The sequence below is a fragment of the Homo sapiens genome, chromosome 2, assembly GCF_000001405.40.
Source record: "Homo sapiens chromosome 2, GRCh38.p14 Primary Assembly".
Lineage (NCBI taxonomy): Eukaryota > Metazoa > Chordata > Mammalia > Primates > Hominidae > Homo > Homo sapiens.
In genome coordinates, this window is record NC_000002.12 from 95333452 (window position 1) to 95347770 (window position 14319).

Here is a 14319-nt window from a genome sequence, read left to right on the forward strand (position 1 = left end):
CCTGACTCCTCTCCTGTGGTGGCCTCACCAGGGCCCGCCCTCGGTCAACCTAGCCTCGAAGAAGGGAATGCTTGGGTGTTTCCAGAGACTCCTCAGAGCACGTGCTCAGGATAGAGTCCTGATGCTTCTAGAGACCGTATGGGCAAGTCCTGTAGCCTCTGTTGGTTGCAATTGTGACAGCTCGTAGGAGCATGGTGAGGATTCAATGATACTATGTCAGTGAGTGCCTAGGACAGTGCCTGGCACATGGTAAGCAGCAATGAATGACACTGCTGCTATCCATTATTATTACCCAATTCCCTCACTGAACGCAGAGGGCATGATGGGTGGCTGAGTCCTCCCAGCTTCCTTGAGGCAAAGGTGGGACTTGGATAGGGGGCGTCTCACTCCTGCCCAGCACCCTGGCTGCTCCCCTGCTGCTTTCTGACTCAGACCCCAAGGTTGTGATTCCCAAGTCATTCGTCTGCATTCAGCTGACACAGGCCATCTGCAAGACACACACCTCTCTGAGCTGTCAGAAGACACTGCAGAAGCTGAGATCCTGGCATCAAGCGTCCCAGATGGAAATTCCCCAAGACACCCTTGGGCCCTCGGCTCAAGTTCAAACAAAGAAATGCTTATGTTCAGAGATCTTCACAGATCACCAGCGAGGATGTGACTTGAGAACACTTTGCGTCAGCATCATAAAACATGAGGATTGATGACCCGTGTGAGTGGGGCGAGTGCCAGGGGAACACAGGCTCTGAGTTGGCCGGCCGTGCTTCCTGCATACACTCTGTGCAGAGGGTGCCAGCCTAGACTGGCGGGGGGGTTAGAATAGCACCGCACTAGTTAGCATGTCCCATAGGACCCTGTTTACAGCACACTTGCATGGGCATGTGTGCACCTGGTTCTCATGACAATATGCAGGGTGGGCAGGGGTTAAGGAATGCTTCCCCACTTTGGGGATGAAGGAAACTGAGGCTCAAGGAGGTGCGAAGCCAGGCAGCTGAGGTCACACAGCCTTGGATCTCCCTACCGTCACTATCCTCCCCTCTTGCCAGCAGAGAGAGGTGGGAAAGCCACGTTCAGCCAAAACCCAGAAATTTACCCAGAGAAACTCACAAACCAACATGGTGGGCCTTGTACAAACTCTAAGAGTATGAAGAGAAGAGCTACAGCTGGCCTTACCCAGTCCTGCCATGCTGGGACTGGTCAGCTCCCCTGCACTGAATCTGGGTAGGGGCATGAAAAGACACAAGATGGGATGAGAAATCCTCCACATGGGAGAGGAAATGGGAACCTTTCATCACTGGGGACCAGGAAGCAGGGTGAGGGGCTCACAGGACAAGCTGGCCTCAAACGTTCCCCTTCCATTGCCTGTTCAATGTTACTAGATACTTGCAGACCTCTGGCAGAACAGATGGGGACTTGGATATACCTTGTAAGGGGATGGGGGCATGAAGACAGATTCGTTCCCCTGACCAAGGGGGAATCAAACAGGTCACTGAGCGCTCAAAGGAGAATATTCCCAGAGCTATGCAGTGAGGGGCCTGCTACCACAGTAACACTTGGGCATGTGTCAAGTCCCCACTTGGCCAAGTAGCTTGGTCTTCTCCTACCTTCCAAGTCTTTCCTGACCATGAGAACCATGGGAACCAGAACTACTTAATTAAGAACATGAAATTCCTTTCCTTTCAGATCACTGGTCCTGACTCTGGCCTGAGATGCTAAGAGATCCCACAGCTCCTGTGATGGGAAAAGATCTATTCCCAGAATGTGGTTCCCACATGGGAAATTTTACCTGTTCAGTACTTCTTGTGGAATGTATCTACTAATGATATATTCTCACAATTTTTACTTAACTTGGAATGCCTTAATTTACCCTTCATTTTTTAAAAGACATTTTTGCTGGGTATAGATTTCCAGGATGGCCAGTTACTGTTCTTTGAGCAATAGCATTTGAAAAATGTTCTTCCATTGTATTCTGGCTTCTGTGGTTTTTGTTGTGAAATCTACCATCATTTTTGTATTGTTATTTCTCTGAGTACAATGTGTCTGTTTTTCTTCTGGATGCTTTTAAGGTTTTCTCTTTACCTCTAATTTTCAGCAGTTTGACCATGCACATGTCAGAATCTCCACACCATAGCAGATGTACCTACCTGTGGTTTTCTTTGTATTTATCCTGCCTGGGGTTCATTGAGCTTATTAAACCCATGATATGATATCTTTCATCAGTTTTGGAAAATTTCTTCAAATTCTATTGTTATTTCTTTAAATTATTTTTAAAATTATTATCATAATTTATTCAAGTTCTAAGTATTTCTTCTAATTCTAATTCCATGCTTTTCTCTCTCTCCTTTTCTTCTGGGAGTCTAGTTATACATTTGTTAGACTTTTTTACTTCGACCCACATATCCTCCTTAAATTCTTTTCTGTTTTTTTCTTCCATTCATTTTTAGTCCATTCACATTTAAGGTAATGATTGGTATGATAGGATTTACACTGCCATTTTGCTACTTGTTTTCTATTTGTCACATGCCTTTTTGTTCCTCTGTTCCTCCGTTATTATCATCTGTTGTATTTGCACTTCCTTGTCTCTTGCCATGTCTTATAATTTTTAGTTGAACACTGTAGCTCTGTGACAGACAGTGTGAACTTCTTTTGCAGGTCACCCATGTTGTCAGGTTTGGGGGCAGTGAGAGACAGATGTGGATTCTAGTTTGTCCTTTTGAGTTCCAGTTTGTTCTCACTTTATCTTACTTCATGTCCAGTCTCTCTTCCCATTTTCTGGTCCTGCCAACCTACAGCAACTTCAGGCATATGCAGAGGCAACAGCCCTCAATAAGACTTCTTCCCCAGCTTCCACAACTATACAAAGTCTCATTCTTATAACAAAGCCCAGACTCCGTATCAGTCATAGTGGTTCCACGTCTCTGATCAAGCCTTCAATGATACAAGATCCAAATTCTCTGTTAAATTTTAAACTACATCTTTTCATTTACTTTGTCCATTTCTTTTTTCTATTTTTAAAAACATATTTATCATAGTTATTTTGAACTATGTCCTTATCTGCTTACTTAAACATCTGAGTCATCTCTGAATTTTATTTCTATTGACTTCATAATCAGCCACTTTCTCCCTCTTCTCATGTCTAACAATTTTTTATTGCATGCTGGAAATTGTGAGTGATATGTTATACAGGCCCTGGATTTACTTACCTCCCTATAAAGAGCATTGAGTTTTGTTTTGGCGAGCATTTAAATTCCTGGCAAATCACACCGTTCCTGTCAAAGTTTGCTTTTAGCCTTTGTTAGGGAGGGTCTGTTTCAGCTTTTTGCCTTATTCATAGAGTATAGCTCTTCTCTTAAGGTGTGATCTTAATCCTAACAAATGGCTTTTCTGAGGTCTCAACAGAAAGCCCAGGGTGTTCACCAGTGCGTGGGTGGGCCTGAACCTCCATATTTCCTCAATGCTCTCTGACCCCTGGGATCTTTGCTCTGCTCTCAACATCGCTGCAGTTGTTCCTGCAAGCACTCCAGAGTCTCTCCCTGCTAATGCAGAGCCTAGCAATTAGCCAAGGCCCCAAAGGATCTGTTCGTGCAGATTTTGGGGGCTACTTTTTCTCTGTGGCTCCCTCCTTTCCAGACCCCCATCATCTCAAATGTTAGCTGCCTTAGCAGCCTTGAACTCTGAGCTCTATTTCCTTTATCCAGTGTGACCGCCAGTGCTAGGAGACCTTGTATGCCCAGCATTTTGGAGAATATACTCAAGGATAAAGATGAAGTAAACTGCGGGGTCCATTCAGTGCGATTCTCTTTTCTCGAGGATCATTGCCTCGAGAAATGATTTGTTGCTGTCCAGTGCCCTCCTAGAGTTGCTGTACATACTCTGTCCAGGTCCTAGAGTTGTTTTCAGTGGGCAGATTAGTCTGATGCCACCTACTCTAACATGGTTGGAACCTTCTTTTCCTGGATTCAAGGGGGCGGGGGAGGGAATGATGTTTGTATGGTTAAAAATACAAATTTATTCAAACTTGTCTATGTTCCTGCTAGGTCTCTTGAGTGTGTCATTGGGATATAAGATGAATCCTTTCTCTGCCATAACAGTTGAGGCTATAGCCCTTATTGAGTACCTCAAATGGACCAAGGCTTTATTCTAAAGTGCTTTATACATCTAATTGTTGTCACCTTCCCACTCACTCTGAGACATATGCACTACTATCATTCCCATTTTACAGTTGCAGACATTGAGTGATGTTGAGGCTAAGTTACTTGCCCAAGGTCTGTTGGCTTTATTACTTCCCCCTGATGATGTCCTCACCTCTCCAGTCCTTCTGCCGCTACCTCAGTCCAGGCCACCCTCATCTTTCACCCAAGCTCTCTGCTGTCCTCATGATGGGCTTTTCTGCTTCTAGACTTCTCTGATAAGCAGGGTCAGAATAGAAAGGCGGGCAGCTAGGCTGGGGGTGCTGATGAGGACTGGGGCCAAGAAAGTCCAGGCCCAACCACGGGGCTACAGTGTGGGAAACTGGAGGTGGTGGGGGAAGCAGGAGAACAAACAGTGAATGTTTCTCAGTCAGGTATTAGGCCTGTGGGAGGAGACACGGGCCCAAGACTGATGGCCCACGAGGAGCAGGCAGACACCAGGCAAGGCAGAGGCCCCGAGGCATCGGCACAGCCAGGGCAGGAGGTAGGTGGGGAGGCAGGGGCTGTGGGGCAGCATGTCACTGTGGCACTGCCTTCAGGCTGAGTTCAAACCGCAGCTCTGCCTCTCACCAGCTGTGGACACTTGGGCACATCTCTTAGGCTCAGTTTCTCCACCTTAGACTCCATTTGAGGTTGATGTTAGCTTCGTGAAATAGAACACCTAATTATGGCGACTTAAATGAGACGAGTTTAGCTTTCTCAAGCAATGAGAAATCCAGACGTTTAGCTTGGTAGCTCCAGCCATCAGAGCCCAGGAACCTGTGTCCTTCTTTCATGGTTCCAGGGACAGTCATCATAAGCCCATCCCAGAAATGAGGAGGGAGAAATGGCAACAAGAGTATGCTAGCTGAGTCCTTCCCACTGCCATAAAGATGGTTTCCTAAAAGCCCTACCCAGTGGTTTCTACTTATGACCCATTGGCCCAAACTATATCACATGGCCATCTAGCCATAAAGACCCCGGGAAATGTAATTCTGTGGCAAAGAACACTGTCGCCCCCAATGAAATTAGACTTGATGTTAACCAAAAGGCAGAGAAGCAATTCCAACAAGATAAGGAGTCTACTCGAGCGGAAGAAGGAGAGAGGTGACGTGAAATCAGCAACCAGAAGTCTCTGTCTGCCACAGGGGTAAATGATGTCACTTCCTTTATCTGTGAGGTTGATGTGAGGAGGAAATCAAGACATATTGGTGTAAAGCACCTAACAGGTACTCGTTCAGCAAATGGCAACAGGTATTCTTGAGTTTGAGGAACTTTTCTAATGATCCCTCGAAGGCCCATCCCCAGAGAAAAGGCTTCATAAGTGCTTGCAGCATTGACTTGTCTAAGCCCCACCCAAAGAGAGACCCATCTGTACAGGCCGATGGGACACAGCCTGGAGCCTTTGTAAAGCCCTGCCTTGGAGGAAGCTGATGCTCTTTACTTGCTATCTTGACTCAGCGGGTGGAGGATGAGGCTCTGGGCCCTGTGCCTAAATATCATAAGGAGCTGGGAGTTAGTGCAGACACTGCTGATTATCTGCCCCAATCTATCCCTCTCTTCTTCCTCTTCTACAAGCTCTGCTTTTGGCCCCAATTTCAGGTGTCCCCCCTCCTCCTTCAGCCACAAGGGGAGCCAGGCCTGACTGATCTGATCATCATGCTTGTGGTAATTAGGTCAGGCCAGGCACGGTGGCTCACACCTGTAATCTCAGCACTCTGGGAGGCTGAGGCGGGCAGATCACTTGAGATCAGGAGATCGAGACCAGCCTGGCCAACACGGTGAAACCCCGTCTCTACCAAAAAAACACACAAAAATTAGCTGGGCATGGTGGTGCATGCCTGTAATCCCAGCTACTTGGGAGGCTGAGGCGGGAGAATCACTTGAACTCAGGAGGCGGAGGTCACAGTGAGGTGAGATTGTGCCAACGCACTCCTGCGTGGGTGGCAGAGTAAGACCCTGTCAAAAAAAAAAAAAGATTGAAAATAATAATAATAATGAAGTCAGACCAGGTGCTGTAATAGTGAGACCCCCAAAACCCAGTAGCATCAGTCTTATCTCTTCTGTTTGGTCCAAAAGCAATTGGCTTTTCCAACACTGTGAATAAGCCTTCAATACCTGGTATCTCCATCTCTCTTTCCACCTCTATTTCCAAATCGATAGCTCTTACTTGATCTCATCTCTTTCCTTAAGGCATAAAAAAAGTATATTTCTTTCTCCCTTTCTCCCTGGGTGAGAGTTCTAGATTGGTGGGAGGCTCTGTTCCATGCAGCCATTCAGGCACCCAGGCCCTTTCTACCCTGTGGCTGTGTTCTCCCCTAACCCCTAAGATCTGCATGAGTGAGGCTGGTCACCAACATGTGTGAGTTCCAGCCAGTGGGAAAAGAGAAGAGAGAACAAGTAGGAGAGTCACTTACCGTCTTAAAAACTCCGTCCCAGGCTGGGCACGGTGGCTCATGCCTGTAATCACAGCACTTTGGGATGCTGAGGCAGGTGGATCACCTGAGGTCAGGAGTTTGAGACCAGCCTGGCCAACATGGCGAAACCCTGTCTCTACTAAAAATACAAAATTAGCCAGGCATGGTGGTGCATGCCTGTAATCCCAGCTGCTCAGGAGGTGCGGCAGGAGAATCACTTGAACCTGGGAGGCAGAGGTTGCAGTGAGCTGAGATGGTGCCATTGCACTCCAGCTTGGGCAAAAAGGGTGAAACTCCATCTCAAAAACAAACAAACAAACAAACAAACAACAACAACAAAACCTCCATCCCCAAAGCAGCATTCATAGCTTCCTTTGGCAACAATGCACATCCACACTAATTACAAAGAGGCCTGGGAAATGCAGTCCCTGCTAGATGGTCACACGTGTAGCTAAGACTTTACTGTAGAAGAGAGAAGAATGGGTTTTGGTGGCAAGCTGGCAGTCTCTGCCACAGTGGTGGCCTCTTTTCTGTTGCCAGCAATTTCGGCATGGCATGTGACACAATCGTAGCCAATGAAACATGAGGGGATTTTTCATGAGAAGTTTATGGGAAAGTCTTTCTCACAGTAAGAGATGCCGGAAGAGACGGTTTCTTCTCCCCTTGGACAGTATCATGTCAGAATGTGATATCTGGAATTAGGCATCTGTTTTGTGATCATGATGGGAACAGGCTGTGGTTAAGGCAGATGCTCTAAAGCTGGTAGTGTAGTTAGATGCAAGAGCCCAGGTTCTTGCTGATACCACTGCATCTAAGCTGGCTGCCCCTGGAAGCCACCCTCTGGCTGGACTTTCCATGTGTGACATAGTACATTTCCTTATGATTTAAGCCAAGGAATGGGGTTTTCTGTTACCTGTAGCCATAAGCCTCCCAGATTTCATGTGAAGTTGGGCCAGAGCAGAGGCTGTGTGGAAGGGTTCTGTGCGGCCCCTGGGGGTCTGATTCAACGGTGGTATGGTTTGGGTCTGTGTCTCCACCCAAATCTCAAGTCGAACTGTAATCCCTAATGTTGGAGGTGGGGTCCCGTGAGAGGTGACTGGATCATGGCGTTGTTTCTCATTGATGATTTAGCAGCATCCACTTGGAGCTGTTCTCACGATACAGAGTGAGATCTTGTGAGACCTGGGTGTTAAAAGTGTGTGGCACCTCCCCCCTCACTCTCTTTCTTGCTCCTGCTCCTGCCACGTGAGATGTGCCTGCTCCCCCTTCACCTTCCACCATGATTGAGGATACCAGCACCACGCTGCCTGGTCAGCCTGTGGAACCATGAGATGAATATACCTCTTTTCTTTATAAATTACCCAGTCTCAGGGATTTCTTTATAGCAATGTGAGAATGGACTAATACAGAGGGCTTGGTCAATACTCTAAGGTCAAGATAGCTGGGCTCCCTTGGTGTCATTTCGTAGGTTGTCTTGGCTGTGAGGAAACAGGCTCTCCAGAAACAAAGTCCCTCTTGCGTGTCTTGAGATGCTTTCATATCCATAGCCCACTGTGCAACAGGCAGGTAAATATCACCAAGTGACTCCATTTTACAAGGAGGAAAGGAAGGCTCAAAGAGGCAATGTGCTGTGGCCAAGTCCATGAACAGGCTAGGGTTGGGACCAGGAACTCAGCCCTGGTTCTCCTGGACTCCCAGGCCTGTGCTCTTGCTAGTGACACCAGGGCATCCTGTGCTGAAACAATTGGGAAAAGGTGTCATGTGAACCCTATCAATTATAATAAATATTTATACAAGGCAGGCAATAGCTGTCCCTTTGGGAAGCTTGCAGTCTAGTGGGAGAGCAGAAACAAGTAAACACGTAAGCAAATATCTATGTTCCCATTGCAGTAACTGCAAGGAGGGAAAAGGACGGGGGCGGGGTGGAGACTGATGATGGAGGAGATCTAGGAAGGTGACTCTGCGGAAGTGACATTAGAGTGCAGACCCCAAGGATGATGAGGCATAAACTGGACAAAGACAGGGAGGTGGAAAAGTGTTCACAGTTCACGGAAGAGCATGTGCGAAGACCCTGAGATGAGAGAGTGCTGGGCTCATTCTGGTAGCTGCGAGTGTGACCACAGCCACACGAGAAAGAGAGAGGAGGGGCCCGGCCATGGGGGGCAAGGTTGAATTGAAATCACAGGCTTTGGAGCTGGACTGCTTGGGTTCAAATCCTGACTCTGGTTTATCAGCTGTGTGCCCTTAAGCAAAGCATTAACCACTCTGTGCTTCAACTTCTTCCTCCTTTCCAGTTCCTACCTTATCAGAACTGTGAGGAATGAAGAGATAAGTCATGTTGAAACACCTGGTACATAGTAAGTGCTTTAGCTGCTTGGATTAGGGGCCTTCTTAGGACTGTGGTCTTTGTTCCGTGAGAAGTGCAGAATGCATTAGTTAGGACCCTGTTGGCTGCAGGGGACAGCAACTCAACTCACATTGGCTTAAGCCACAGTTGGCGGATTGATTGGTTCATATGTCCGAAAGATACAGGTTTAGATGTGTCATGGGGCACGCAGCGTTGCCAGCTGGACTTGATCTCTTTGTCTTCATTTTTAGCTGTGTTTTCTCCTGAGGTGACTCCGTTCTCAGGCCCGCTGTTCCCACATGGTGGCAGCCTGGCCACTTATCTACTATAATCGCCTGCTTTTCCCCGGGGCCAGTCTCATGGAGGACTCTCACTATCCTGGCTCCCGTCTGGTGGCCATCCCTGAGCCAATCACTGTGGCAGCAGAGGGGTGGTATGGAGTGGAAAAGAGAAATTGACACTGATTGAGCCAACCTCCAAAGTCACTGCACTGAGGCTGGGAAAGGAAATTGGGGTGTGGTCACCAGCCACACAGGCAAACATGGCCATTGCTGAACCAGGAGGCCCCTGGTAGTTTCCAGTTGGGAAAGGGCACGGTCTGATTTTTGTCTTGAGATGATCATGCTGGTTGCTGAACCGAGAAGAGGTAGGAGGAGAACCACAGTGGAGGTGGGGAGAGGCACTGGGGACCCATGTTGGGAGTCCAGGAGGGAGAACAATGCTGTGGCTGGGCTGGTGGCAGTGGGGCAGAGATGGACGAGGAGGCACAGGGCGAGAGTGTGGTGACAGGCTGGACGGGGTGGGGACAGGCAGATATTCCAAGGTAAGAGCCAGGGTTTTGGCTGAACAGCTGAGATGGGGAGACTTGGGAAGTGGCAGGTTGGGAGAGGATGAAGAGGTCAGCTTTGGAGGTGCTGAGTTTGAGGAGCCTTGAGAGTGTGAAATTCCATTCCTGGGCATTCTTGTCTGGTTTCTATGAAATATGGGAAGAATAAATAAATTGAATAATGCCTGCTTTGCCCAGTAGAAAGCATTAGAACTAAACTAGAATAAGGCAGGCCTCCCCCAGCCCCACTCCGGAGAGTTGGGACTGGACCAGTGTGCTGAGCTGTTTTCACGGAATGGGTCCCTCAAACAGCATGCATCCAGCCCAGACCCGCCCTTATGAGTCAGGAGACCTCATGAAATCCCTGGGCAGCTAGGTGGTCAGGAACAGTTAGCATGGGACATCCAGGGAATGTCGGTCAAACTGACAGAGTCCCAGGCCTTGGGAACCACCAGTACAGCTGTGGTAACAAGATGGAAGATGCCGGGGCAGAGAGCCAAAATGCAGGGAGGAAGAGTGTGGCCCAGGCAGGTGTGTGCTAGTTCATAGGCAAAGGCAGTCAAGACAGGGCTGGTAGAATCTGGGTTGGCTTCTTGGAGACAGAACTGGATGGCAGCTTCAATATTCCAGCCATGGTTGTGACCTCAGGTGTGGGGTGCCTGTCCAGGTTTGGAGTGACCCCCCACCCCGACCCCAAAGCAATTTCCTCTGAAAACTTCCTAAACTAGAGCAAGATGCAGGACACCCCTGTCTCCTAGTCATCCTGAGGACTTCAGGAGAGGGCTCAGGGCCCAGCCTTCTCCAATCACCCCAAGGACCAGTGAACTGCTCCCTCCACATTGCCCCTCAACTTGTCCCCACCTCTGGGGCAGTCCTTCCCTAACTCCCCGCCCTGAAGAGGTTTTTTTGCATGTCCCTCACCTCCAGCCTGTGCTTTCCTCAAAGCAATGAGTGCTACCCATACACAGCATACTGCCACATGGAGGCACTTGGGATGTGCTGGGGACCAAGGAAATGCACGCCAGGGCAGACAGTCGCCTGGGAAGGCACTTCATGGGTGGCGGGGTGGGGGGGGGCACATGGGGCTTCAGGGCTCGCCTGCTGGCTTCCTTCTCCAAGTCCCAGGGAAGGGGAGTGTGATAAGACCCTCAGCCCAGCCTCAGTGGGCCTACGCTGGTGAGTGAGCCTGGGAGTCAGCTCCCCATCCATTAGGCCCGTAGCCCAGGTGGCTAATGCCACGTGGATACTCTGCTCTCAGGCCTCGTATCCACTTAGGCGTTGTTAATATTTTACACGGCACAGCCAGAGGATCGATGTCTTGTTTATAGCTCAGGGTTTATAGGCAGTCATCGAAGCTCTCACTGGGAACTGGGAAGATGCTCAGAAGCATCCAGGGAAACAGAGGCAGAGAAGAGGGTTGGAGGCCAGCCTCAGGACCCCCAAGATGGCCTCCTTTGCATGCTCAGTTCTCTGTCTCATCTGACACGTGCCACCCTGTGAAGCTGGGCACATGCAGCTCTGAGGGTGCATTGTAGGGGCCACTGGAGCCCCTGCCACGTGCCAGCCTGCATCTCATTCCATCCTTTCAAGCCCCCGGAGAGGCTGGATTATTGTTCCCATTTTATGGATGAGGAAACTGAGGCTTAGAGGGGTTATGTACCACTACACTTTTACAGGTCACTAATGGAGGCTGAGCCGGCACTACCTGGGCACAGGCTGGATCTTGTTCAGCACTTAAGTGTGTAAATTACATTGCAGGAGGCTCTTTAACCTTAAAAGCTCTGCTCCAACAGAGCTGTTTTCTCTGGGGATTGTTAGCCTCTCTGCTTAGGACTTTTGCCTTTGGTCAGTGGAGAATCACCACATCCCAATTAACTAGAATTAAAAGCTATGCATTTACAGTTCTTTAAAACTAACGCCAACGGCTCAGACATTTAACTAGGCATGTGATACAGTGAAGCTGCACTGCGCAGCCCCTCTCCCGGTCATTTCCCACCAGAAACAGGCTGGTGTCACGGGAAAGTCCCCGCTCCGGACTCCAGCAGGCCTGGCTGTCCCTGTGCCCCTCACGTAATTAGCCCTCTAGCCTAGGTTTCCTCCCCCGTAAAATGGAGGAAGAGGAAAGCCCACGGGGGGAGCCCTTTAAGAATCACACGTAAGCTCAAAGGCTTGGCACACGTAGGCGCGCTCCAGGGGGCCCTCGCAGCCACGCGCCGCGGCTCCCACCCCACCCAGGCAGCGAGCTCTGTGCCTGGGACCAAGCACCGTGTTACGCTCAACATCAGCTGAATGAATGGCCGAGTGAGTGGCAGAGGCTCCCTAGATGGAAGCTGCAATTGCTCAGGCCGTGAGTCCAAACAGGACTCGCGCTTATAGGCGTGGAGCGGAGCTGGATTTCTCCCTTGGCTAACACAGCGGGAAGGATGAGGTGCGGGCCGTAGCCGCGCTGCCGCGCTGAGTCCGTCCGGCGGGGATGCCCACAGTGCGCCGCGCCCGCTGGAGGGCAGCAGAGGGCCAGGCTCCCGGCTCAGGTCTCCGGCCTCGCGGCTCCAAGGACCCCGGGCTCCGCCCGGCCACGCCTCGTCCTCCCCTATTTTCTCCTTCCTTTTCGCGGCTTTCCCTCCTCTACCAGACCCGGCAGGAAGAAAGCCACCCACAAACGAATAAGCATGCCCTTGCCCTGCCCGTGCGTGGCACTCCGCATCCGCTTAGCTCTTCCCCGCCGCCCGAAGGCGGGCGTCTCCCCCTCTCTGCGGAGCAGGCGGCGGCGGCTGCGAGTCCGTGACTCGACCAAGGTCACGCAGCAAAGTCAGCGACCAAGCTCTGTTCCGCAGACGCCAGGGCCAAAGCCCACACTTTCCCTAAAGCCCCGAGTGCACGCGCGTTTCCAGAACGGGAGAACTTTGGAGACCAACTTCTGCATTTTCAAAGGGGGCCAGCCTGGGCCCAGTTTAATCTCCGGCGGAGGACCGGGGTTGCGGGAAATGCGCCGGGGAGTGAGGGCTTCCCGGATCCCCCGCCGCCGACTCCGCGCGGGCCAGCGGCGCGGGGCGGGCCGGGATCAGCGCCTCCCCGGGAGAGCGCAGCCGCCGCCCCCTCCTCTCGGGCTCCCGGCCCCTCCCCAGCCCCTCGGCCCCCATCCTGCGCGTGGGAGAAACCGCCGACCGCGCGGCCTCCAGGGGCTGGCGGAGCAGCGGTGGCGACGCGCCAGACTCCGTCCTGGGCTGGCCCGTGCCGGGCGGGGCGGGGCCGGCTCCCTCCGCCCTTCCCGGGCAGGCGCGGGGGGGCCGCAGGGACGCCTCCCGGAGTGGCCGCCGCGCCTAGGCCAATGAGCGCGCGGGGAGCGGCGATGGAGGCTGGGGCGGCCGGGAGCGCCCGGGACCCCCGCCGCCGCGCCGCCGCCGCCGCGCCCCCGCGCCCCGGCGCCCGCGGGGCTGGAGAGGGGGCGACAGAGGCGCAGCGCCCGCGCCGGGCATGGAGGCGCCGCTGGCCCGCGCTGGCCGTCCGCGCTGCGTTTCGCGCCGCCGCCGCCGCCGCGCCTCGAAGTTTGCCGGCTGACTCGGAAAGTTGCGCTCGGGCTCGGCCGCCGCGTCCGGTCCCCGCGTCCAGCCTCCGGCCTGACCCGCTCGCCGCCGCCGCCGCCCTCCACGGGGCCCCGGCCCAGCCAACCCAGCAGCCCCGCCTGCCGGGGGCATGTGAGCCGTCGCCGCCCCCGAGAGGCCGTGCGGGCTGCAGGGGCCCCGGTGCCTCCGAGGCAGCGCGTGGGCGAGGGGTGCGCCCGGGCCCCAGGGCCCCAGGCAGCCCGGCTTGCCATGGGCATCCAGGGCATGGAGCTGTGCGCCATGGCCGTGGTGGTGCTGCTGTTCATCGCCGTCCTCAAGCAGTTCGGCATCCTGGAGCCCATATCCATGGAAGGTAACGCGTGGCCACTTGCCCCTTCGCCGCCTCCGCCGCAGACCAGTGGTCTGGAGGGAGGGACCAGTACCCGCACGCCGGGGTGCACTGGTCTGGCGAGGAGCGGCCTGGGCCGCCGCCCCCTCCCGGCTCCGGAGGGTTGGGCCTGGGACTAAGGAGACGTAGTCCCAGGAAGCCCCAGAGGGGACGAAGCCGCAGCGCTTGGGCTGGGTGTGAGTGAGGCGCCTGGTGACACCTTGAGCGGACAGCTCCTGCCATCCTAGGCCTGCAGTCCGGGCGCCCCTGGTGAGCACACCGGCTTGGGTCGCCCTGTAGCGGGAGGTGGCGCAGGGTGCAGATGACAGGAAGGACCCTCAGCCCAGGGCACCTGGCAGCCGGCGGTGGGGAGAGATTTGAGGCCTCTGCCCTGTGATGGGGCCTCCCCTTTCGCCCCGCACCTGGTATCCAGTTACCCCTCCCCAAGCAAGGTTCAAGCCCATGGGATCAGTAACCAAACCCGCAGGCGCCACATTTCTGTCTCAATAAAATATTAACTGAGGAGACAGACCCACACTTGGATCAGACACTGACGGCCCCCTGGGGCCCTTCCATGGTACACCTGGTTCTGAAGGGGACCCTGAAGCCAGGGATGTAGCTTTTCCCCTGTTC

General features: G+C 52.6%; 1 protein-coding gene across 2 annotated transcripts in view, besides 1 other annotated feature; it reads left to right on the plus strand.

The window, feature by feature from the left end:
* KCNIP3 (potassium voltage-gated channel interacting protein 3) overlaps positions 1-14319 on the plus strand; it is an 88731-nt gene that overhangs the window by 36105 nt on the left and 38307 nt on the right. Inside the window, exon 1 of one of the 2 annotated variants that reach the window (NM_001034914.2) lies at positions 13207-13671. The exons of the other annotated variant lie outside the window; for it this stretch is intronic. Within the exon in view, the coding sequence (NP_001030086.1) occupies positions 13569-13671 (103 nt within the window). The 5' untranslated portion in view covers positions 13207-13568. Of the gene's footprint in view, positions 1-13206; positions 13672-14319 lie in introns of those variants that run through there. 2 annotated transcript variants of the gene reach the window in all.
* Positions 9534-9770: a silencer, noted in NCBI's record as "fragment chr2:96008733-96008969 (GRCh37/hg19 assembly coordinates)". NCBI's record gives its function as "represses an EF-1alpha promoter that drives an FKBP-Casp9 reporter gene in an ReSE screen in K562 erythroleukemia cells {active_cell/tissue: K562}" and the evidence as "EXISTENCE:reporter gene assay evidence [ECO:0000049][PMID:32094911]".